Here is a 25,586-nt window from a genome sequence, read left to right as displayed (position 1 = left end):
GCATCATGCACTGTCTTTTTTTTTTTTTTTTTTTTTGAGATGGAGTCTTGCTCTGTTGCCCAGGTTGGAGTGCAGTGGTGCAATCTCGGCTCACCGCAACCTCTGCTTCTCTGGTTCAAGCGATTCTCCTGCCTCAGCCTCCTGAGTAACTGGGACTATAGGTACCTGCCACCACGCCTGGCTAATTTTTGTATTTTTAGTAGAGACGGGGTTTCACCATATTGGCTAGGCTGGTCTCAAACTCCTGATCTTGTGATCTGCCCACCTCGGCCTCCCAAAGTGCTCGGATTACAGGCGAGAGCCACCTTGCCTGGCCTATTTGTCTTTTTATGACTTGCTTATTTCACTGAGCATAATGTCCTCAAGGTTCATCCATGTTGTAGCATGTATTGAAATTTCCTTCCTTTTTAAGGCTAATATTCTACTGTATGGATATGCCACATTTTGTTTATCTATTCGTCTGTCAGTGGGTTGCTTCCACCTCTTGACTCTTGTAAATAGCACTGCTATGAACATGGGTGCATTGAGGGGTTTTCGACATAATCATAATAATTGCTTTATGGAGACCAGCTTGGAGGAGAACAAGATGGGGAGGAAGTGTGGAAACCAATGAGAAGGCTCTCAGGGTATAGCGGGAATACAGAGGACGCATGATGATGCCTGGACTTAGGTGGTACCACAGGGATGGAGAGAAGTAGATAGAGTCAAGCTATTTAGGACGTGAAATAGACAGCATTTGTTAATGGGAGAGGTGTGGGGCGAGGGAGAAGAATAGAGGGAGAAGGAGGAGTAATGGGAGCTCACCAGCAGCCCCCATGTTATGCCTCTTTCCTTCCTTTTCCCTCTTCTCTCATCAGGCATTCAGCTTTTGCTGAGTACTTCTGTGTCTGACAACAGGCTGAGCACTCAGCACTGCAGGACAGGACTATGCAAAAAACCTCTGGGCCTAGTCCTGGGTGCACTGCTAATTCCCTGTGTGACCTTGCACAAGACATCCAAGCTCTCTGAGCCTCGGATTCCCCACCTGGGCAGGAAGAGTAAGTCCCTGCCTAAGTCATAGGGTTGTAATGAAGAGCAAAGCAGACCATATCTGTTAAGTGTTAGGGACAAGACAAGCATGAGGCATATTTTCAAGTCTCGGCTCCTGTAGGCAGCTCTCACTAAGGGCTAAAGGGCTTCTGATGCCTGGGATAGAATCTGTCCGGCAGAGTGGAGTGGAGGCAGGGGGACAGCCTTCAGCTGTGGAATTCCTCCAGTCCTAGAGACCAGCCTGAGCTGGGGGACATTATTCCAGTCCTGAGGCATGAGAGCAGAAGGCCGATGCTTCTGCCCTCCATCCTAATGTCCTCCTGCAGGGACCCAAGGTGGATGGCATCGATCCCCCCGGGTGAGCTCAGCCCTGGGCGCATGGTGGGGCCCAACATCTCAACCTGTTTCCTAACCCTGAGCCAGGCAGGACAGATCCCAGATTTGTGCCCAAGAGATGCTCTGGCATCCATGCCCAGGCCCACATAGGGATAGAGGGCAGGGTGAAAGTCTCTCTCCCTCACTCGGGTCCTCTGGAGAGGGGCTCTGTGTCATGAAGCTGACCTTATCCGCATCTGGTCTAGGAGGGAGGAGGGAAGGAGCTGCCAGTGCTAAAATCTCCCCCACCCTCAAAGGGGGACTTCACAGGTTATTGCTGGTTTTGGTTGTTGGAAGCTGACAGTGATTTATTGGCAGATTGAAGTGAGTGTGTGTGCGAGAATTTAGGATAGAATCTACTGATAGCTTCTGAGGTTTACCTTCCCCAGGTCTTAAATCTGGAGATAATAAAAATATAACAGCTAATGTCCAAAGAGCACCCGCTGCGTGTGAGGCTCACTGCACTAAATGCTTTCCATATGTTTCTCACAAGAACCTTCTAGGTAGCACTATTATGATTCCCACTTAATGGATGAGGAAACTAAGCTCTAGAAGGCTAAGTGACTAATCCAAGGTCACACAGCTATTATGTCACAGGCTCTGAGCCCAGGTGTATCTGGCTGCGGAGCCACCACCACTAACCCCTGTATAACGCTGCCTCACAGAACTGTGGCTGGCTCTTTCCGTATCCCCCATGCCCCTGCTCCATCATCATGCTGTGGTGGGCTCTGAACTGTGAGGACAGGGATCCAGGCTTTCACCCTCTCTCTGTCCCTAGCTGCCAGTGCACTTGGGCAAGGTCACATCCTATTTCTGGGCCTCAGTTTCCTCATCTGTAAAATGAAAGGCTGGATTGAATGACCTTTAAGATTTCCCTCACTTGGAAATTCCACAAGTAAGTCATTATAGCATGGAGCTTGCATGCATGGGCTCCAGCGTCAGGCCAGCCCAGCTCTGCCAGTTAATGGGTGTGTGGCCTTGGATCTGTTACCTAACCTTTCTGAGCCTCATTTCCTTTGTCTGAGAAATTGGGGGTGACGGCAGTGTACTTTCTTTGAAAAGTTATGGTGAGGAATAGATAAGATCATGTGTTTAAAGTGCTTACTTGGCACAGTGCCTGTAACTTAGTTAAATTCAATAAATAAATTTCCCATTCTTCCCATGATCATTTATTTTTAAGGGACATTTGTCTGACCAGTTTGATTTATGAGATTATTGGTGTTTTTCATGAATGTTAAGACGTACGTGCGTCATCTTAGAGTCATGTACTCTGATATATTCACACGTGCACATCCACTTACTCGGAAATGTACACACCCAGGCACGCTTATTCTGTCTCCTTCTCTGCCACATACTTGCACACATTATGTGAGTGTACACACATGATGCACACACGTCTCTGCGATCTTCCATCTCTCCTCGGCAGCCCTGCTGGTGTATTGGACCCTGGCCTTCATCACCAAGACCATCAAGTTTGTCAAGTTCTTGGACCACGCCATCGGCTTCTCGCAGCTACGCTTCTGCCTCACAGGGCTGCTGGTGATCCTCTATGGGATGCTGCTCCTCGTGGAGGTCAATGTCATCAGGGTGAGGGTAAGCAGGCCACCTGGGCCAGGGTGGGGTGGGAAGCAGAGGCTCTGGCCTCTGTCCTGCCCTGGGTTCAGGCCCCCACCCTGCTTCTCAGCCAAACTGAGAAGGGATCAGCTTGTTTTACCCGCCCGTGTAAAGGGGAGTGGGGCCGTGGCGGAAATTTCAGGATAGACACTGCATCTGGCCCACGTGTGCTCTACCCCAGGGTCCCAGAGGGAGAGGGGGGTGATGGGTGTGTTCGCTGAGGTTGGCGGATGACTTTCCGTAGAAAGGGAAGATAAGCATCAGGCACTGGCCTCTCCTACTTTCTTTCTTCGGGGGTGGGGGACTTTGCTTTAATGTATTCATATCGTCACGCTGGTAAATGAATGAGTAAGTGTTTTGTTTTCCTTTCTGTTTGCTCCCGCCTCCCTCTCTCTTCCTCACCCCAGACTCCAACCTTCCCCTTCCCCTGCCCCTACCTCCCCAGGCAGCCCAGACTAATGAACTCGTTTGTCTTTCCCATGCTTTGTTTTTATTAGTATAATACCATATGTGTCTGTCTAAATAAATACCTATTCAGGTTTTTTCCTCTCAACACAAGTGAATATGTAGGTTTCCCCCACGGTATTTATCTTGTAAGAATGGGATCATATTATGCAGTTTTCTGCACTGTGCTTTTCTCACCCAACAAATATCTCTTGGGACTCCCTCCAAGCCATCTGATATGGCTAATTCCGTTTTCTTAATGGCTGCATAATATTCCATCGTATGGATGAGCCATAATGTGTTCAGCTATTTCTCTATGGATGGGCATTTACTTTGTTGCCAAGTTCTTGCCTTCATGAATAATGGTGTGTTGAACATACTTATATATTTATGTATTGCTGCTTTTATTTCTATGGGAGAGAGTCCAAGGAATGGCGTTGCTGGGTCAAAGGGTCTGTGTATTTTAAATTTTGATCAGTGTTACATATTGCCTTCCAGAAAGACTGTAATCTGCCAGCAATGAGTGAGAAAACCCTTTCCCTGCCTTCCAACCAGCAGTGAGGGCTACAGCCCTTTCGAACTTGGACTGCCTGCATTTCTCTGACTCTTCTGCTTTTAGTTGGTGATCTGCAGGGCACAAAGCTCCTTATGTGTCCCCCCATCCAGTGACCCTCACAGGAACCCTGTGATGCAAGCACCATCCCCTTTATAGATGAGGAAACATTTTAGATGAGGCTTGTCCAAAAACACCTTGCTAGTAAGTGGAGGAGGCAGGATTCAAAACCAGGTCTGCATGACTTGGAGTTCTGTGAACTGTATATGAAACATGGTGGTATCCTTAGATCTGTGGAGAAGATAGCATATGAGAGATTCCTGCTCCTCCCCAACCCAACCTAAACCCAACCCAGCCTAGCCATGGGGGGTTCAAAGTCGACCTCAATGAGCAGTTACAAAGTCAGGATGCCCTGACATTGGTGGCCAAGAAGTGTTGGGGAATCCTTTTCCTGGTAATAATTACAGGCGAAAGATGGCCCCATCTGTTAGAGATCAAGTGTGGAATATCACAACCCCAGATCCTTGCTGGGGCAAGGTAGGGAGTGGTGAGAAGTTGGACTTACCCATCCCCCATGGCCCATGTGCCCCACAGAGATACATCTTCTTCAAGACACCGAGGGAGGTGAAGCCTCCCGAGGACCTGCAAGACCTGGGGGTACGCTTCCTGCAGCCCTTCGTGAATCTGCTGTCCAAAGGCACCTACTGGTGGATGAACGCCTTCATCAAGACTGCCCACAAGAAGCCCATCGACTTGCGAGCCATCGGGAAGCTGCCCATCGCCATGAGGGCCCTCACCAACTACCAACGGCTCTGCGAGGCCTTTGACGCCCAGGTGGTCAGTGGGGGCACAGCCACACCATCTATTCACTGCCTTCTGGTTTAGGGTCACAGAGAGGGACCTCAAAGGGCATTAGGTCAAAATCCTGGTGGGACAAGAGGGGAAACTGAGGCTGGTGAGGGGAAGAAGCTTGCCTTAAGTCACACAGTGAACCAGGGACAGGTGCAGGGCTGAGGATTCATAGGACAGGCACAGTTGGAATGGCCCTTACCGTTTAGGTCGTCTAGTCCAAAGTCCTTATCCAGATGGGGAAACTGAGGCTCTGAGAAGGGAAGTGACCCCACTGGACTCTCACATCCCTGTGCTCTTTCCTCTGCAGCTTACTGACTATAAAGGTTGGAGTGTTCACTTGATTTGGAGCAGGGGTGTTAGTGGCCTGATCCTTATGGTAACTCTATGAGTTGAGCCAGACAGGAATCTCCCCATATCACTGAGGAGCAAATTGAGGCCCTGAGAAAGGCTGTGACCTGCCCAGAGCTGGCCACAGCTGGCAGGCGGCAGAGGCAGTCTCCTGGCTCCCAGTCCAGTGCTCCTTCACTTCCTCTGCCCTCGCACCAGGGCAGTTGCTGAGGCAGACACGGTGGCAGGTGGTAATGAGTGAGTGTGGCACATGGCCACCTCCTCATTCCAGTGCTGTGCTCATCACATAGTCCCTGACCAGCTGTGTGACCTTGAGCAATCATCTGGCCTTAGTTTCCCCATCTAGACCATGTTGGTGTTGATAGGGCCCTCCCAACTGTGCACTTGCTGATTCCATGATCTCTTCCTGGAGTTCACCTATTTGCAGAGGATGTGACCACTGGGTTTCCCCAGACAACAGGAGCTAGGGGCATCCTGGGAGGCTAGGCCCAGCCGTGAATTAGCCCTCAGGCACTCTGACCTGGCCATGGTCTCTCTGGGCAGCGGAAGGACATTCAGGGCACTCAAGGTGCCCGGGCCATCTGGCAGGCACTCAGCCATGCCTTCGGGAGGCGCCTGGTCCTCAGCAGCACTTTCCGCATCTTGGCCGACCTGCTGGGCTTCGCCGGGCCACTGTGCATCTTTGGGATCGTGGACCACCTTGGGAAGGAGAACGACGTCTTCCAGCCCAAGGTAGGCAGCCCCAGGGGTAGGGTAAGGCACCCTCTAGATGGTTTTCAGTTGTTTCTGAGAGTGCAACAGGCCAATGTGTGTGAGCCATGGCCACACTGGAGTGGCTCCTCACACATGCGCAAAGCCCATAGCAGTATCCCCACCACAGAATACTCTACATCTGGTCAACAGAAATGCCAGAGGGCGAGCCTATGCCCCAAGGGTATCCTACTCTCCTCTCACCGTCACTACCATAGTACCTCTCCCGGTAGTTAGGTCAGTCCGAAAACTGCAGGAAGTGCTTTTGTTTGTCCAGTGTCTAGAGCTTCTGTGACTTGGATTTGTTGGCTTTCAGTTCATGTCATCTTAGTAAACTCTTTAAAAGTTTTCAAGATCTGTCTTCTTCAGTCCTGTAAAGGCTGGCACTTGAGCTTTCTGCAGGGGCATCTTGGGAGCTACTGTCAGAGGAGAGAGAAGTGGGAAACCCTCACGAGTGGAGCTTTGTCTCTCCCCACTCCAAATTTCATTCAAAGCTGCCCGTAGTTTTATTAATATGTTGGACTTTTCCATTAAAATTTCTTTTTTAAGAAAAGTTTCCATGGCTTAAAAAACACTGGAGACTTATTAGACTAGATTATATCCAATGGCCTTGGCAGTTGTAACGATTCTGCAAACTGAAATTTGTTGGAGCTAGAAAACCTTTCCCCGGGGTTATTTGCCCTGCGTGGGGCCGTAGCATCCACTTCGGGGGCTGGGCAGACTGTGCTCTGTTGTCTGTTTCCTTGCAGCCGTTTAGGTTTAAATGGCCACAAAATGAAAACTTTTTCACCCCTAATAAGTTTCAGAGTTTTAGTTTCCAAGTGAGGATGTCATTATAACATTTTAACCACAGACAGTCTGAAAATAATGCAGAGAATGGGGAATTAGGGTTTTTAATAATTTATGACACCCTTTGCGTAACATTTGTTCATCTCATGAGCTCCAAAATCGCAGCCAGCAGTTAATCCTCAGGAGGTTTATGTTCATTTTTCTGGAGACATAATTAGTCAGCTGAACAGTTTTGGCCACAGATATGAGATACGTTGAGTCTGATTTATGCAGCAAACTTTCATTGAACACTGCTGTGTGCCAGGCCTGGGTTGGGCTGTGGGAATATGAAAGCAATAGTTATGATGAGGATGATTAACAATATTAACAGCCACTTACTGACCACATAATACATACCTGGCTGTGTGCAGGAGTTATCCATGTGTTATTTAATCCCTAAAACTATCCTTTGGCGTGAGTATATTTTGCAACATCTTTACTGTGGTATACCTCAAATACTGTACAGTTTATGAGATGATAGGTATTCTTATCCCCATTTTACAGATGAGAAAGTTGAGGCTCAGAAAGTTTAAGTAATTTTCCCCAGGGTCTCTCAGCTAGTTAATAACAGAGGCAGAATTTGAACACAAGACTCACTCCACAGTCTGGGCATTTACAGCCAGGAAGCTAAATTGACTATTATTATCAAGCCATCACCTCTGGCTCCAAGGATTATGAAATCCAACAGTGAGGAGAGAAATCAAAATAAAATACTTTTATGCTATGTGTTACATGTGACTCTTAGGAGGAATATTCAGGGAATTGTGGGAAAAGATAGTGATTAACTTAGCCAGTGGTCATGAACAGCTTCATAGAGGAGGGGATGTTTGAAAGGGGTCTTGACGGATGAGTAGGAATTTGCCAGGCTGCCATGGGAAGATTTCTTGCTCAACCAAGAATGCAAGGACCACTTTTGCTTATTTAAACTTTGATGGCTTTTGAAGCCATATCTGGCTTTTTGAGCCTCTCTACTTTACCTGGCCCATAAAAGAGAGGGGAAGCGGCTGCTTCTCTTGTCTACAGGAGTGTCACCTTTGGCTCTAGCCTGACCATAGGCTACCCCAGAATACCCCCATTGGCGATCCTGAAGCAGCATGGAGCCAGTTGTTAATATCAGGGGGAAATGGCACAGGCCAGAGCCCTTATCAGAGTGTCCACACCACGCTCTTCTTCCTGTGTTTCCCAAAACCCTTGTGGGATTCTGCTAAGGAGAGAGCTCTGAGGCAGGACGTGCCAAAGAGATGGCGAAAGCACTTAGAATTTTAGTTCATCTGAACGTTATCATTGCCGTTTTTTTCTCTTTGTTTATACACAAACCCTGGGGTTTATTACCGTCTCATTGGAATGCTCTTGTCCCAGTTACTTAGCACACAAATCCCTGAGACAGATGGCCCTGCCTCAGTGGCAGTGGGCCTTATCAGATTTAATATTTTTTCCCTGCAGCCCAAACACAATCAGAAAATTTCCGACACAGAAACAAGAGTTGAAAGTAAATATAGTCTCCAGTGTCCGCAACAAAGAACTCTCCATCATGTGGTTGCCTGGGATGTGGCTTAATTCTCATGTGGGCTTCTGAGCTCAGAAAATGGGGGAAAGGGATCATTTACTGAGATCATTTGGTTCATCTCCCAGCCCCCAAGCCATTCTAATCCAGAGAGAACCGAGTGCTATTCTGGTCTTTATGAATGACAAAGAAGGAAGCTCCCTAGCTACATGTTGCAGTGTTTCACAGTCTGGGAGAGGAAGCCGTTTTTTCTGCCCAGCCTGAATCCATCCTGCAGCAGTTGGCACAGCGAGGCACCTGTGGTTTATTCATCATCACTCTTCCTTCCTAAGATACTCAGAGTTGGCAAGAAACATGTCATCCTTGGTATCCGCAAGGACGAACATTTCTGATGTCCTCTTTAGTTACTGAAAGTGTCTGTGACTTGCCAGATCTTTGATGCTCCTGTCACCCCGCTGCCACTCCCCAGGGAAAGCTGGGACCCAGGTTGGGCTCTGCCTATGATCTATAGCTCTTTCCAGCCTCCTCTCCAACCCAACCCCTACTCCCAATCTGTCACCTCCCATGGATGCCACTGATCTGGCTGAAGGACAAGAGAATTAGATTCATAATGAGCTGCTGGTGTCTGAAACCTGCCAGCACTGCCCTGGGCTATCAGTTGAGCCAAAGGAAGAAGGAACAGTCTGGGTTTGATCGAAGGGCTAAAGCTTCAAACAGCCTCTAAGTCTCAGTAGGAAAATGTGTAGGTTTGGGAGGGTGTATGTGTTTCCGAATGAGTTCCCCTAAGAACTGCTTATGGTTCTATATGTGTGTTCTGTTTGTCCCTGTGTCTTTTGGTGTGTCTTTTTCTGCGTGTGTGTGTGCATGTGTGTGTGTCTATGCCCCCGTTTGGATTGCCATATTTGTGGCTATCATTATGAGTGACTTAATGAGTGTATATGCATTGGTGTTTCTGTGACTTTGTGGTTTTGATGCATGGGCTGGCCTCTTCATAACCATGTCCATGCAGCTGGTCTGGCCTAGAGTACCTGCCTTCAATTCACTAGCTCCTTCTTGGCCATCAAGACTCTGCTCAAATGTCACCTGCTCCAGGGAGCCTTCACCTGGTTGAATTAGATGCCCCTTATCTGTGCTCACATAACATCCTATCAAAGCGCCCTGTTTCTTTCCCTGACTTGATCCTCTGTCCCCTATTGCCTGACCTCTGTGTGCCCAGCACTCAGCCCACTGCCTGACACCCAGGAGATGCACGGGAAATGGTTCTGCAAAGAAGGAATAATGCAGCAATTACTATATATTGAGTGCTTACACTTACTGTTTTTTCACATGCACTGTTACATTGACTTCTCATAACAACTCTCTGAAGTCCCTTCATAGCCTCACCTTACAGATGAGGAAACTGAAGCTAAGAGAGGTTGAGGAACTTACCTAAGGACACAGTGGCTAATATATGATGAGTCAGGACCTCTAAGTCCAGGCTCTTAACCACCGTGTCAAACAGTCTTGTATGAATGGGTAGGTGTGTTGGTCTCTGGGTGGCCAAAGATAATTTTATTCTTTACCCAGGGCCTCCCGGGGCTGGGACCTACGGACAACTCACCTTTTGACACCTGCCAAAATAGGAAACAAGAGTCCAAGTGATCCCCTCTCCTTTAAGCACCAGAGAACATGTGAAGGGGACCTTTCCAATCATACCTCTGGCCTGGCAGAGACAATGGGGCTCCAAACTGTAGAGTCGGGAGTGCTGGGTTTTAGTCCTACCTCTGCAGCTAACTCATTTATTCTCCTCAGCAGTCACATTCTGCAAGCCTCAAATGCAAAATGTGTAATAACTTCTGTAGAAAGTACATGGGGGCATGAAGATCATTGGCTTGATTGCTTTTAAAAAATCGGTATTGAGCACTACTGGGGAAATCCCTGGAAACAAACACAATTCTTCCCTGAGAGCTTGTGAAAATGCAAGACTAGGGCCTATGATTTTCCAAAGCATTTTCTTCCACCAAGTGTCAGGTTGTAGGTCCTTGGTCTTTTCTCTCTTGCCTTGGTACCTGCAGGGTGCTGACCAGTGCTATCATATCCCCTCCCCGTTTCCTAGGACCCTCTTCTCGGTAGACTCCAACAGGGCCTGCCTTCCTTGGGCAGCATGGCAGGCCTCTTGGCTAGTCTAGTACCCACTTCTTTTTTTTTTTTTTTTTTTTTTGGATGGAGCCTCACTCTGTCTCCCAGGCTGGAGTGCACTGGCGCAATCTTAGCTCACTGCAACCTCTGCCTCCTGGGTTCAAGCAATTCTCCTGGCCCAGCCTCCCAAGTAGCTGGGATTACAGGCATGCATCACCATGTCCAGCTATTTTTTTGTATTTTTAGTAGAAACAGGGTTTCAGCATGTTGGCCAGGCTGGTCTCAAACTCCCGACCTCAGGTGATCTGCCTACTTCAGCCTCCCAAAATGCTGGAATTACAGGCATGACCCACCACGCCTAGTCAGGTACCCACTTCTTAACTGAAACTTAGCTATTCCAGGTTCTATCCCTTTTAAACCAACTCTTTGAAGAGAGGTCTAATAATGACCCAATGACTTATAGCTGCAGTGAGATTTTTATTTTAACAGGTCACAAAATTCTCAATCCACAAAAGTAGATTTCTGACCCTAGGTTATTTTGTTGGGGGCGGAGAGAGGAAGTCAAAGGTTTTGCAGCCTTTAGAGCTGCAAAACCAGAATTTGTTGTTTTGTTAAAAATGCACAAATACCGACGAGTATATTTAAGTAACACCCATAGTCTAACGAACAAACATGATCAGTTGGCTTTTCCAGCCCTCATTCTCCAGCCTGTGTGTTTTCTGCTCATTGTAACACAGCGTGTGTGTGGCATTCCATGTTTCTCCAGAGCTTTCATGAGAATCAGTGGTCTTGGATGCATAGTGTTCCCATGAGTACCTTAATTACCTAACCATTCCCTGTGGTTGGAAATTTATATGGGTTTTTGCATTCTCCTTCTGCTCTGACCCCAAAATAAATGTCTGTGTTCATACAGCTATTACCTTATGTGAAATTATTTTCTTTGGGATAAATTCTCATGATGTGTTGTTGCTTTAAAATAGTGGACTCCAGTCTCCAGAGCTGCGTCTCTGCAGAGGACAGTGGGACAGAAGAATCCCAGGGCATGTTAAAAAGGACCGGGTCTTCCTAAACCCACATGCCTATATTTCTGACCCAGTACCAGCCAGGGGGGCAAGTTTCCATCCCCCACAAGTCACAAACCTGTAACTGACACTAGGATGCTTAAGGTCAAAGGCCTGGACGAGGCCTAGACAGTGGGTCTGGGGTAGTGTTTTTGACATCACTCAGGTTCATGTTCACATGTTGTCCCCTTACCAGCATGTGACCTTGGGCCAGCCACTAACCCTACTGAAACTCCTTTTTTTCATGTATGAAATGGGGCTAATAATGGTACCCTCCTCATTAGGGTATTGTGAGGATAGAGTTTTGCACCTGATAAATATTGTCTCCTGCCCCTTCCTCCCCTGGAAATTCAGGTCTCTCCCTGCAGCCTAATTTTAAGGCCCATTTTTCTGCTTCCAGCCCACCCCTGCCCTTCTACCTTCGACCTCCTCCCTCTGCCTCTCCCTCTGGTGCACTGGCAAATGGGACAGAGAGCCTCGGTAGGGCCTTCCTCTTAGAGTCTTGCACGCATCCCTCAGTGGTCTCCCTGTGGCTGCTTCCTGCTGCCACCAACAGATACAGACCCCTGTCGCACAGATCATGGTAGAGACAGTGGTGAGCAGGACCAGACAGCTCCAGGGAGCAGTGAGGGCTGGCTTAGAGAACCTCTGTTAAACTGAGAGGCCACCATCAGGAAGCTCTGATCCAAGATCCAGGAATCCCTGACTCTAGGGAAAGGCCTCCAATGAGAGCCTGGGCCCTCTCTGCCTGATTCTGATTGTGGATGTGCCCTCAAACTCCTTCTCATCACTTTGTTCCATCCCTCTTTACCCTGCAGCAGCTCCCACACCCTGCCAAACAGGATGCACAGTCCAGGGCAGTGTCTGAGAAAGAGCAGAGATCTGTCTTCATGGAAATATTGATGTGGCTCTGCTGGGGAGCAATGGATTTATCAAGATCAAAGTTTTCCTGGGAGTTATTGATGCTTAATTTGGAAATAGACACACTGTTGATCCCTGGTATCTTTAGCAACAAAGTTAAAATGTTTGTTTTTCTTCACTGGTTGCCATCTGAGATCTTGCCGGAAGTACACAAGAGAACCTTAAATTTAACAGGAGGCCCTGGGAGCCCATGAGGCTGGCGGGCTTGGGTCTGAAATCTTTTCAGTCTCTTGTAAGTGATGAGCTCTCATTCTCTCCTGAGAGCTCTACGGTGCCATGTTTTCCACTGGCCTTTTCTGCTCAGTAATTGCTACATTACAGGCTGTTGGTAAGTTCGGAACAAGGGAGCTGCTGATTCCATTTCTGTAGCAGAGAACATGCACCGTGAGACTTGTTGTACCAGTTCAGGTTTTAGGTGCTCTATTTATTCTTGCCCCATTCAGAATGCTCTCCCCTGGGTCTGTGGCCACAATGCTAAGAGTCATATTTATGGGCCTGCAGTTGTAATTGGGCCCCATTCTGTTCCCCCAAGTGGAAAGATGAACAGGGTGTAAGCAACCTTCCCTGTAGTTAGAAAAACGTTTAGTTGGATTTATCAGTCTGATTTTTCACTCATAAACAATTGCACAAGCCTTTGCAAGCCCAGAGGGTCTTGTAATAATGATGGCCGTGGTCCATTATGGCACAGTGATGTGTTCTACGGTGGTCATTTTGCTGGCAATGACAGTCACCTCTGAACTTCTCTTTCCAACAGACACAATTTCTCGGGGTTTACTTTGTCTCATCCCAAGAGTTCCTTGCCAATGCCTACGTCTTAGCTGTGCTTCTGTTCCTTGCCCTCCTACTGCAAAGGACATTTCTGCAAGCATCCTACTATGTGGCCATTGAAACTGGAATTAACTTGAGAGGAGCAATACAGGTACTTGGATGATTATTTTTTCACTTTGCCATAAGAACCATTATTAGGAATAATGTCCATGAGTGTTATTCATCCTCATGGACACTCAAGAATAATTCTGCTGTAAATTTATTTTTTGTTGCCCATTAACGATGTTTTAAAACAGTAACCATTGACAAGGCAGTGTGGGATAGTGGAAAATATCTTGGGCTGAACTTGGGAGACAGTGTAGCTCTGGCTCTGGTTCTGCCTTGGACTGGGTCTGAAAATCCAGCTGCTCAGCCCTTGGCTTGAAAGTGGTAGACGTCACTAATTGATCACAGCACTCTTTCTGACCAAGGGTAAATGCAACCTTGGAATCCTCTCTAAGTGGCTGTTCCAGAGTTCTGCTACCAGACAGTCTTCTTTGGGTGTGAAAAAAGGAATGTGCTTGACATACAAGGTCTAGATAGCCTCTAAGACAGGGTCCCCTCTAAGATGGGGTATTGGTCCATGGCCTGTTAGGAACTGAGCCACACATCAGGAGGTAAGCAGTGGGAGCAAGCATTACTACCTGAGCTCTGCCTCCTGTCAGATCAGCGGCTACATTAGACTCTCATAGGAGTGCGAACCCTATTGTGAACTGTGCAGGCAAGGGTCTAGGTTGTGTGTTCCTTATGAGAATCTAATGCCTGATGATCTGAAGTGGAACAGTTTCATCCTGAAACCATCCCTCTCCCCCAGGTCCATGGAAAAATTGTCTTCCACGAAACCAGTCCCTGGTGCCAAAAAGGTTGAGGACCACTGCTCTAAGTTCTATTTGAACCCTTAAGTCTTGCTCACTAATGAGAGTGACCTATTTGGTCTGTTGGGTCACTTAAGTCTAGGCTCTTGGTCCTGCCTTCTGTGATTTCCTTCTTAGAGTTTCTGGAAAGATGATCAAAGCCAGGGAGTGTTCAGGGCCCCTCTGAAGAAGGTGATGATGAGAGTTGTCCAAGTCCCAGGGTCTTCACTAGGATTTTGGTTCAGCTATCAGACTAGAGAGACATCCTGATTGAGAGTAGTTTAAATGGGATAGAAGTTTGTTTATTCTTCAGATAGAGTCAGGGCTGACACAGGAGCTACTCAATGATCAGAGACCTGGCTTCTTCTGTCATGTTGCTCTGCCAGCCTTCTTTTGTGACTTTTGTCTCCATAGCCATGGTGGGTATTGAAACTGCCACTATATTTACATTTAAACTAGCCAGAAGAAGGGACAAGAGGAGGGAACGCATTTTCCTTTTAAAATGGTAATACCTGATTTGCACATACCCTCTCGCATCCCATTGGTGAGAAAGTGGCCAAATGGCCGTATCTAGAGAGTCTAGAAAGAGCTTGGTCTTTATTCTTGACAGCTATATATGCACTGCTAGAAATTCTCTGTGCAAAGAGGAGAATGGGCATTGGGAATAACTAGATGCAGCTATGCCTAGTGATGTCCATGAAGTTGTGGTAAAATCCTGAAGCTACCTTGTTCTTTGGAAATGTTCCTCAGAATCATTAACATTAGTCATGTGGGAGACAGGAGAAGAAGCTCTGCAGAAAAGGGACCGAGAGGACAAGGATATAGCTTGGGCTGGGGACAATGTCAGAGTCCAAACTCTGGCTATCTTGGAATAGTCTGTGTGAACGGTGCCCTCCCAAGTTGTGCAGTGCACAACCTGTGCAGCTATATATGGCAACCCTGCCCATCCCCAGTGGTTTCTCACTGGGAAAGCAGAGTATTTCCTCAGGGATGTCATTATGTGACAATAGTGGAAAAAGCCCAGGAAAATCTAAGACCTTCTAAGACTCATGGGGGCCCAGAGCTGGGAGGAACCAAGCTGTTGCTCAGTTCAGAAAACTTCTCTAGAAATCCCAGCCTCTCCTCACACCCCTCCAGTGACAGGCAGACTTGCACCACCACAAGCAACAGCCACTTTTGTGGTTGGGCAGTTTTGTAATTAAATATACTAATGTGTGTATGTCATAAATTACATTTTCCAATTATGCCAAAAGAGCCAAAAATGGTTTTTTAATGGTTAGCATATAATCGTTTTTATCAAATTGCTTGAATCTTTCATGTTAATAAGAGAGATTCATTACTATGCCACAAAAAGCAAATACTGGCATTAATTATAGAAACAAATTAGGGGGGTGGAGCGCAATGGCTCATGACTGTAATCCCAGCGCTTTGGGAGGCTGAGGCGGGTGGATCACAAGGTCAGAAGTTTGAGACCAGCCTGACCAACATAGTGAAACCCCATCTCTACTAAAAATACAAAAATTAGCCAGGCATGTTGGCGTGCACCTGTAGTCCCAGCTACTCAGGAGGCTGAGGCAGGAGAATCGCTTGAACCCAGCAGGTGGAGGTTGCAGTGAGCTGAGATCGTGCCACTATACTCCAGCTTGGGCGACAGAGTGAGACTTCATCTCAAAAAAAAAAAAAAAAAAAAAGTGGCTCATGCCTGTAATCCCAGCACTTTGGGAGGCCAAGGCGGGTGGATCACAAGGTCAGGAGATCGAGACCATCCTGGCTAACATGGTGAAACCCCGTCTCTACTAAAAATACAAAAAAAAATTAGCCAGGCATGGTGGCGGGTGCCTGTAGTCCCAGCTACTCGGGAGGCTGAGGCAGGAGAATGGCGTGAACCCAGGAGGAGGAGCTTGCAGTGAGCCGAGATGGCACCACCGCACTCCAGCCTGGGCGACACAGCAAGACTCTGAAAAAAAAAAAAAGGAAAGAAAGAAGGAAAGGAAAGGAAAGAAAGGAAAGGAAAGGAAGGAAAGAAAGAAAGAAAGGAAAGAGAGAGAGAGAAAGAAAGAAAGAAAGAAAGAAAGAAAGAAAGAAAGAAAGAAAGAAAGAAAGAAAGAAAGAAAGAGAAAGAAAGAAAGAAAAAGAAAAGAAAGGAGTTAGGGAGAAAAAAACCCTTTCTTTCTTTCTTTTGGAGATTTCCGGAAAATGTACCCTTACGGATGAGAGCCTGTGTCTTCATGGGTTAGAGAATAACCACGCTTTGTGCATAAAAAGTTATTAAGCACAATTCCTGAATTATACATAATTACTAGCTGTCAGTCAGTTGTGCATTTCTGTGTATGCTGGTCTTCACTTAATAAGACTTTATTTCACAGATCACTTGGTGTCCCTACTTCACTGAAACTAGGTGATTATCTTTTGAAGTCTCATTTCACATAACCTAGGAGGTATATAGATTTCTTTAAAAATGTCATTGCCATTATTTTAAACCTTACCCATGGTATATATAAACTTACAGAAAGACAGAATAGGTTCATTATTTTAAACCTTGCCCATGGTGTATATTAGCTCACAGAAAGACATAGAATAGGTTCCTGCCTTAAGAAAACCTGACCCACAAAAAAGCCTGGGTTTACACAAAAGAGGAATTAAGGGCGGGGAGCCCACCTTACAACAGAATGAATAATAGAATTTTATCCAAGAGCAGGCATCCTGAGGACATTTAAGACCCGGATGCATTTTTCCTTGTTCAAGAGCACACATCCAAAAATTGCAGTCTTTCTGCGAGTCATGATCACTCTGCACATAAAGCGTTTAGGTTCAGAGCTCGGGGAGGCCATTACCATGGCTGCTCTCTGTCTGCCCTGTGAGGGTCCTTGGGGTGGCTGCACTCTGGGGATGGTGCTGGGGCTGACTGACTCACGCGGTCGTGTAACACATCAGACCTTCCAAAGTCGAACCCTTGTTTTGTTTCAAGGCTCAATTATGACAGGACTTGGTCTCAGAGCAGATCCCCTCCCTAGGCTGGAGAAGGCCACTTTAAAACAGATGGCCTGCCCCACTTCATCATTTTTATGGCTCTGATCTGTGTTCTCCACTGGCCTCTGGTAAATCAAGAATACAAGTGGACATGAAGATCTGCTTTAAAAAATAAAGAACAGACCGGGTGCGGTGGCTCATGCCTGTAATCTCAGCATTTGGAGGCCGAGGTGGATGGATCTCCTGAGGTCAGGAGTTTGAGACCAGCCTGGCCAACATGGCAAAACCCCATCTCTGCTAAAAATATAAAAATTAGCTGGGCATGGTAGGCACGTGCCTATAATTCCAGCTACTCCGGAGGCTGAGGCATGAGAATTGCTTGAACCCGGAAGGTGGAGGCTGCAGTGAGCTGAGATCATGCCACTTCACTCCAGCCTGGGAAGCAGAGCGAGACTCTGTCTCTAAATAAATAAGTAAATGAATTAAATTAAATAAAAATAAAGAACCAATTAAGTCCTGTCTACAGGAAAAGGCCTTACTTGCTGGAGAAGTAGCTTGCTGTGCTGGAGTAGACTAGTAAGTTGGAACGGTGATACAGTACCACCTTACAGAGCTGCTCTAGGGCACCATGGGGACTGTCTGAGAAGCCCCTGGCACACTGTAACAGGTGGCATCTGGTGTGGTGATGATGATGAGAATGATGATGAATGTGAAACACTCTGCTCTCATTTCTAGACCAAGATTTACAATAAAATTATGCACCTGTCCACCTCCAACCTGTCCATGGGAGAAATGACTGCTGGACAGATCTGTAATCTGGTTGCCATCGACACCAATCAGCTCATGTGGTTTTTCTTCTTGTGCCCAAACCTCTGGGCTATGCCAGTACAGGTACTAGATGGGCTGAGGGGAAGGGAGGGGGGCAGCAGGACACACAACCAGAATCTGCTGGTCCATGGCCAGTAACTAGGAGCACACCGTCTTCCACTCCATGCTTGCCTGTACCTTTCACACACTTGGCTATACCACAGGCTGTACCTCTGGGTCCCTCCTGTCCCATACTCTGCAAGCACTGACCATCTCTCTTAATGACCAGAGAAGGCAGTATCATTAAGACTTTAAAAATGGAGCCAACTTTATAAACTATAGAAAAATCAAGCCAGGTTCAGGGGCTCACACCTGTAATCCCAGCACTTTGGGAGGCTGAGGCAGGAAGATTACATGAGCACAGGAGTTCAAGACTGGCCTGGGCAACACAGTGAGACCCCTTCTATGCAGAAAAAAAAAAGAAGAAAGAAAAGAAAAATCGTACATGGAATGCCCACAGATCTTAAAAGCTATGTTGTAGCAAAATATTTAATTACATCAAAAAGTGTTAGTGATGTATTTTTAAGCAAAAAGAGTAAGTTACAAATAGTATATGTTGTATGCTTACTACTAAACTGGAATATATGTTATGTATACATTTGTACAGATTCACACATGAAAAAGAATTGGAAAATCACATAGTGGGATTATAAGTGATTTTTATTTTCTTTATGTGTTTCTAAATTCTCTAATAAGCGTGTATAAGATTTGGAAATCAACAACATGATACTTTTAGCCTAGGCAACAAAGTGAGACCCTGTCTGTACAAAAAATTAGCTGGAAGTGGTGGCTCACAACTATAGCCCCAGCTACTCAGAGGCTGAGGTGGGAAGATTACCTAAAGTCCAGGAGGCAGAGGTTGCAGTGAGCTACAATCACACCACTGCACTCCAGCCTGGGCGATAGAGTGACACCTTGTCTCAAAAACAAACAAAACCTGGTGTTTTTTAGCCAGATGTGGTGGTGCGCCCCTTTAGTCCCAGCTACCTGGGAGTCTGAGATGGAAGGATTGCTTGACCCCAGGAGTTCAAGGCTGCAGTGAGCAATGATCACGCCCCTGCACTTCAGCCTGGACAACAGAGAGACTCCTGTCTCTTAAAAAATAAAAATAAAAACGTTAAAACATGGTATTTTTTTAAAGCAAGACAACCTTTGGTGCTGGCTCAGGAAGAGGTACATTACCCCCCAATAATCAGAGGAGAATCGTCAGCATGATTGATCTGACCTCGGGCTTCATGTGTCCCATCTCCCACCCGGAGCTCTTCCACCACAGAGTCTGATCCTGTCCTATGCCTGGGACTAAATCTTCACCCTGGTGTTCAGGCCAGAAACCGAAATCCCAGACCCATTCCCAGAGGGCGGGAAGGTTCCACCGGGAGAGCTTGATGTAGCAGAAAGTGACTTGGGTGAGACAGGCTGATTCAAATACTTAACCTCTCTGAGCCTTGGTTTCTTTATCTATGAAATGGGGAGGCTGCCCACCCTCTGGAGTTGCTATGGCAATTCAGTTAGATAATGTAAGTAACACAGCAGGCAGAGTGGCCCCCAGAGTCTTCACTTCGTAAATATCAGATCCCTCTACCTTGCACATGTTTGGTATGAGTGAGGTGTTACCAATCCAGAATCCATTGCTTCTTGGGATAAAGATTCCATAAACCTTCATCTCCAGTGATTTGTATTGGTCCTCCTTACTTGTAAAGCTTAGAGTTTAAAAATATTAAAAGAAAAAAAGGGGAGAGGCTCCCACAGGGACACAGCTAGACAAGATGAGATGCAGGGAATCTGATGTTCTTTTTTATGGGAACAGTCATATATGCCATCCCCCATTACCACCTACCCATGCCCAGACTGCCCCCGCTCCATTCTGCCAAGACAGATCAATGACTATAAAAGCTACAAAAGGGCCTGGAGATCTCATCTAGTTTAGTTACCAACCAACCTTTTATGCACAAGACTTTCTAAGCTGGGTGTGGTGGCTCATGCCTGTAGTCTCAGCCACTCAAAAGGCTGAGGTAGGAGGATGGCTTGAGCCCAAGAGTTCGAGTCCAGCCTGGGCAACATAGAGAGACCTCATCTCTAACACAATTTTTTTTTTGAAACATGAAAAATGAAGATTTCTGACCATGCTTCTCTCATTAGTTAACACTTTGGGCTGTGAGGGTCTGATGCAGAGAGACACAGCCTGGGAGGATCCTAACATGTACACAGCATTCAAAAGGCTACAAGACACTTTCTGTTGTGTCCCCTTGAACAAGCAGTTTGTAAGATTTTGTTGGCCAGGCATGGTGGCTCGCTCCTGTAATCCCAGCACTTTGGGAGGCTGAGGCTGATGGTTCACCTGAGGTCAGGAGTTCGAGACCAGCCTGACCAATATGGTGAAACCCCGTCTCTACTAAAAATACAAAAATTAGCCGGGCATGATGGCGTGTGCCTGTAGTCTCAGCTACTCCGGAGGCTGAGACAGGAGAATTGCTTGAGCCCAGGAGGCGGAGACTGTGGTGAGCTGAGATCGTGTCACTGCGTTCCAGCCTGGGTAACAGAGCGAGACTCGGTCTAAAAAAAAAAAAAAAAAAGAAATCAGGTTTTGTCTACTAAACCTGCTGCACGGTTACCGTTACTAGTACTCACAGGGTTTGTTGCACATGCATCGTTGCTAATAGTGCTAACTAATATTAACAGCCCTTGCCCTATGCCTGGCCCTGTCCCAGCCCCCCTCCCTTGTATAATTTAACCCTTGCACTGGGGGTAGAGATTTTCATATCTACTGATTTCTTACCTTTGCTCATTTATCATGGAGTGTCCTTTGGTTTTCTGTGTTTGTATATACCTTTACCACTTATAGATTTGACCAGCACTCAAGAACCAGTGTTACTCCTGGGAGTTAATACAATCCCAGCCCCATGGCAAAGAAACTCATGTGGTTAGGATTCTGTGTGCAGCCTGGTTAGCCACAGGGCACGTAAGGCTTTTTATAATATTGACATGAGTGCAGAAGCCCCATTCCCGTGTAAGCCCTGAGGGCTCTTGTTTCATAATCTTTTTTTGGTCACATGCACACAGCTTTATTGAGATATAACCCACTCATTTAAAGCATACAAATCAGTGGGTTTTAGTGTCCTATATTCACAGAGCTGTGCAGCCATCATCACAAATGTGGAAGTTTTCATTTCCCCAAAAAGAAACCCGTACCCATTGGCAGTCACTCCTCATCTTCGCCCCCAGCCCTTGGCCACCGTTTATCTACACATACTTTTGAAAGGCTAGTGAAACTTTCTCAGAAAAATAAATGCTTGCTCAAACATTTGGGCTATAATTTCAGGGGCTTCATGGGTGCCCCCCTGACATTTATCAAGAACACCAGGTTAAGGAATTTAGCTATAATGGAGGCCTCTGTGTTTCCCAGTCTCCTGGGTATCAGAGGCCCAGAGAGGGCAGGTGCCTTACCCTGGGCCACGCAGTGAACCAGTGGCAGCACCATACTCACACATCTCCTTTCTGCGGTTCCCCAGTGACAGAGTTCTCAGGAAGCTTTTTCATTTATTTTCTGAGAGGAGGGTAGGCCATCTTGTATTGATCTCCAACTATATGCCAGCCACAATTCTAGGTGCTTATCATAAAGGTTCATTTAATCTTCACAATAGTCCTGCAGAGTGGACAGAGTCCTTCAGAGTGGGCATTATAATCACCATTTTAAAGATGGAGAAGCTGAAAACCAGAGAGGTTAAGTAACTCACCCAAGACTGCACAGCAAAAGGCTGGGGCTTTGAAACTCAGGGCCACAGACTCCAAAGACTATGTCCTCCCCACTATGCTAGATTTTTTTCCTAACCTGTGAATAGGAGACAAAATAGTCCTTTTATTTCTCACAGTTGCTTTGCACACTCAGAATCCATGATTTCTTCTGCATGAGGGCCATTCAGACCTGTGCAGAAGAGAGTAATGGACCAAGGAGTCTTGGGAGCACCTAGGAGGAGGGGATGGGGGAGCATGAGGAGGAGCCAGGGAACAGCAGCAGCTGCAGCACCAGCTCCCACCCCAGCCTCTGCCAGTCTCTTGGAGGTGGTGTGGGTGCAGACACCGGCTCACAAGGTGCCCTGTTAGTGAGCTTGGGGTGCCATGGGAGCCTTCTTGTTGTCAGGCCCAACCCAAGCTGGCTGAAGAACACCCTGATGGCCTCCATTTGAGCACAACTAATGAAGGACTGGATGCCAGAGATAAGTCCAGGAGGGTGATGCTGCAGGGCAGGCCAGGGAAGAGGGTACTTCATCTCTATCATGGTCCTCTGCCCATCCATGCCAGCATCTAACACCTGTTAAACACTGGGAGGCAGGTGGTGAAGGGGCCACTTCCCAGCCTCTAAGATACCTCCTAAGCCAGGAGGCATTCTGTGATTAAATTACAGGGCCTCCCACTTACTCCTTTATCCTTGAGGCGGTGCTGGAAGCTTAATGCCAATCTGGTGTAGGGCTCTGGGACTACAGGACCAAGGCAAGCAGTCCTTTCTCTCTCTCTCTCTCTTTTTAGCTAAGGAAGCCAGCACATCTGTTCTTTGAGAAAAAGCCCTGTATTTAGAGGTGTCTGCCTTTGAAGGCAACCTGAGAAACTGTCATCTTGGCGCTTTGGGGACTGGCCATTTACACTTCTCATAAATATTCAGAAGTAGGCAGTCATTTACATAAAGCTAAATGCAGAAGGAATTCTCTTTTCAGGGAATACCTGGCAGATTCATTAAAAAAATTAAAGAAACCAAGAGCATAAGAATGAAAAGCGAATTCTCGGACCCCAGGCTGGTTTTTTCTGGCATGGGTGCAGTAACTTTGCCTCTTTGCTCAGTTATCACTTTTTTCCAATGACAGTAACCATAAGCCCTGAGAGCCAGCAAATAGAACAAAAGGTGCTGTCACAAACATTGTGCAATCTCATCTCTGAGATTTCCATCTGGAAAATAGACTGGAGAGAGTTAAGGCTTCAACCAGCCTTGCAGATAAATGCAGTTAGTTACCAGCCCAGCAACCCTCTGCTTGCATGAGAGCCCATTATGCTAACCTCCTTTTGAAATTGCTTTGTTTCTCCTCCTTCCCTGCACTCCACTCCCCAAGATAATTTGGAAACCTGGGCACCAAGGCTTGTCCCACTCTAGGGGACTGGGGAAACAGGGATTTTGCCAGCACCTCCTGGCAGGGCAACCATCAGGTCAAAGGGACCTGACCCATGACCCCTTCCTCAGATCATTGTGGGTGTGATTCTCCTCTACTACATACTCGGAGTCAGTGCCTTAATTGGAGCAGCTGTCATCATTCTACTGGCTCCTGTCCAGTACTTCGTGGCCACCAAGCTGTCTCAGGCCCAGCGGAGCACACTGGTGAGTGCCCAAAGGTGTGTGTGTTTTGTCCCTCTTCCCCTCCTTCCCTCGACAGCAGCAGGTCTCCTCCCACACACCCACACTGTCATTGACTTTGACTTTGACTTTGAGTAGGCCACTTCACCTGTCCAGGCCTCAGCTTCTTTGTCTGGGAAATGGAGTCAATGGGGGAGGAGGCTGCCTCCCGGTGAGGACAGGAGGCGGGCATGGCAGTGACAGTATTGACACTCAGGCCTTCCTCTCGGGTGGGAGACGGAGCAGAAGCCTCTCCCCTCTGACTCGGGGACCCCTGCAGGAGTATTCCAATGAGCGGCTGAAGCAGACCAACGAGATGCTCCGCGGCATCAAGCTGCTGAAGCTGTACGCCTGGGAGAACATCTTCCGCACGCGGGTGGAGACGACCCGCAGGAAGGAGATGACCAGCCTCAGGGCCTTTGCCATCTATACCTCCATCTCCAGTGAGTTCACCCCACACAGCCAGCCCTGGGTGCTGCTGCGTACATGCAAGGAGAGGGTGTCAGAGCTCGGGTAAGAGGGGGTGCAGGGACAGAAGCAGGAGGCCTTGAGATTATCCGACTCAGTAGGGGAGCCTCAAACTGGCTCTGATAGCTAAGCTCCCAGAAATCAAAGTACTCTTCATTCATTTATCCAACAAACATGCATGGAAAGCCTGCTATGTGCTGGACACTGTGCTGGCCCTCAGGATACAGTGATGAGGAAGAGAGATGAAGTTTCATTCCTCATGGAACTGATATGTTATTGACAGACAGCAGCAAGTAAGTAAATGACCACAGTTTTGAACTCTCCTAAGAATGAAGACTTTTTAGTAAGTCAGACTGAGCTGTCATTGCCCTGGGGAAGCTACAAGAAAGCTTCCATCCACTTGGGGCTATGCAAAAGAAAAAGACTAGTTATCCTTAAATATCAGAAGCCCAGGCTGAAGGTACTCACAGGTGTAGGGACTGAATTTATATTAACCAAGTAGTTTGGGAACCCCAAGCCAAGGAAGAAGAAAAAGACCAAAACTGGTAAAAGTCCTAGAGTCCCATATACTTGAAACCATTTTACTGAGAATGTAAAACTTTTTTTTCTTTTTTTGAGATGGAGTCTCGCTCTGTCACCCAGGCTGGAGTGCAGTGGCAAAATCTCGGCTCACTGCAACCTCCACATCCCAGGTTCAAGTGATTCTCCTGCCTCAGCCTCCCATGTAGCTGGGACTACAGGCACACACCACCACACCCGACTAATTTTTGTATTTTTAGTAGAGACAGAGTTTCACCATATTGGCCAGGCTAGTCTTGAACTCCTGACCTCGTGATCCACCCGCCTCAGCCTCCCAAAGTGCTGGAATTACATGCATGAGCCACTGTGCCCAGCCCAAAAGATTTTTTAGAAATTGAAATTTTAGTTATGGAAATTAATTCAGTGAACAATGGTCCCCTGGTCAGAGTGAGGGCTTACGGAGGTCAGGTGATCCATGGAGTCCTGGCCCAAGTTTATCTCACAGTTGGTCTCGTGGCTCCGTGGACCCATCCCATGGTGGTTACTTCCCAAGTGCATAATTGGGATGTAGATATTTAGCAACCAGCTGACTTCACACTAGTTCCCTGACCTGTCCAGTCTAAGAGTCATTATGGCCAAGTGGAAGCCCCTGGAAAGAAGAAAACAAAAAAGAAACCAAAACTTACTCAGTGCACAGGTTACATGAATGAGTATAGCTGAAGAGAGAATTTTTGAATTAGAAGACAGATGAGTGGGGATTACACAGAACGTGGCAAGGAGAGTAAGTTGGTAGAACCATTTTACAGATGGGAAATTAAGGCCAGAGGGGAGTGTGTTCCTGAGATCCCTCCTGAGGTTAGTAGCATGGCTCGGACTAGATCCTCCAAAGTCTCTTAACTCCTGGTCTCAGGCTATTTTCCACAAAGAGCTGGGGGCCTCTGTGGGGTGAAGAAGACTTAGGACACCATGGGGCACCATTATGAGGCCATTTCCTCCTAGGAGAAAAAAAATCTCTGGGCTCTGAAAGGAGTAGAATTAGGGTAGGAAATTAAGAGAGGCTACCGACCACCTCCTCCAACTAAAATTGGTTCTTTTGGTGCCAGGAAGAGACACACCTGGTGGGGGAGGGAAGGTGGTAATGGAGGGGGTGCTGGTAGTGTCTCCCAGATAGACCCATCCAACAAGTCTCATGGAGAATGAGACGGTCACTCAGGTCATCTGCGTATTCTTGGCATTCTTGCTGCCTAGAGAGAGAGTCTGATGGAGCTAGGTGGCCACCAAGCTGTCCCACTCCCCAAGACAGTTTGGAAACATGGGCACCAAGGCA

At 47.1% G+C, this 25,586-nt stretch overlaps 1 protein-coding gene across 6 annotated transcripts in view; it reads left to right on the top strand.

Moving 5' to 3' along the window:
* ABCC8 (ATP binding cassette subfamily C member 8) overlaps positions 1 to 25,586 on the top strand; it is an 84,348-nt gene that overhangs the window by 10,411 nt on the left and 48,351 nt on the right. For 3 of the 6 annotated variants that reach the window (NR_147094.2, NM_001351297.2, NM_001351296.2), the window contains exons 4-10: positions 2,831 to 2,997; positions 4,610 to 4,849; positions 5,759 to 5,947; positions 13,152 to 13,316; positions 17,764 to 17,919; positions 23,123 to 23,257; positions 23,553 to 23,715. Coding sequence is in view for 5 of the 6 variants with exons in the window: in NM_001351297.2 (NP_001338226.1) it covers positions 2,831 to 2,997; positions 4,610 to 4,849; positions 5,759 to 5,947; positions 13,152 to 13,316; positions 17,764 to 17,919; positions 23,123 to 23,257; positions 23,553 to 23,715 (1,215 nt within the window). In the remaining variant the exon portion in view is untranslated. Of the gene's footprint in view, positions 1 to 2,830; positions 2,998 to 4,609; positions 4,853 to 5,758; positions 5,948 to 13,151; positions 13,317 to 17,763; positions 17,920 to 23,122; positions 23,258 to 23,552; positions 23,716 to 25,586 lie in introns of all 6 variants that reach the window. The other 3 variants (NM_001351295.2, NM_000352.6, NM_001287174.3) reach the window with 1 other exon arrangement.

The sequence above is a fragment of the Homo sapiens genome, chromosome 11 (assembly GCF_000001405.40).
Source record: "Homo sapiens chromosome 11, GRCh38.p14 Primary Assembly".
Lineage (NCBI taxonomy): Eukaryota > Metazoa > Chordata > Mammalia > Primates > Hominidae > Homo > Homo sapiens.
The sequence above is the reverse complement of the archived record's forward strand: the minus strand, read 5'-3'. Positions and strand labels throughout refer to the sequence as shown.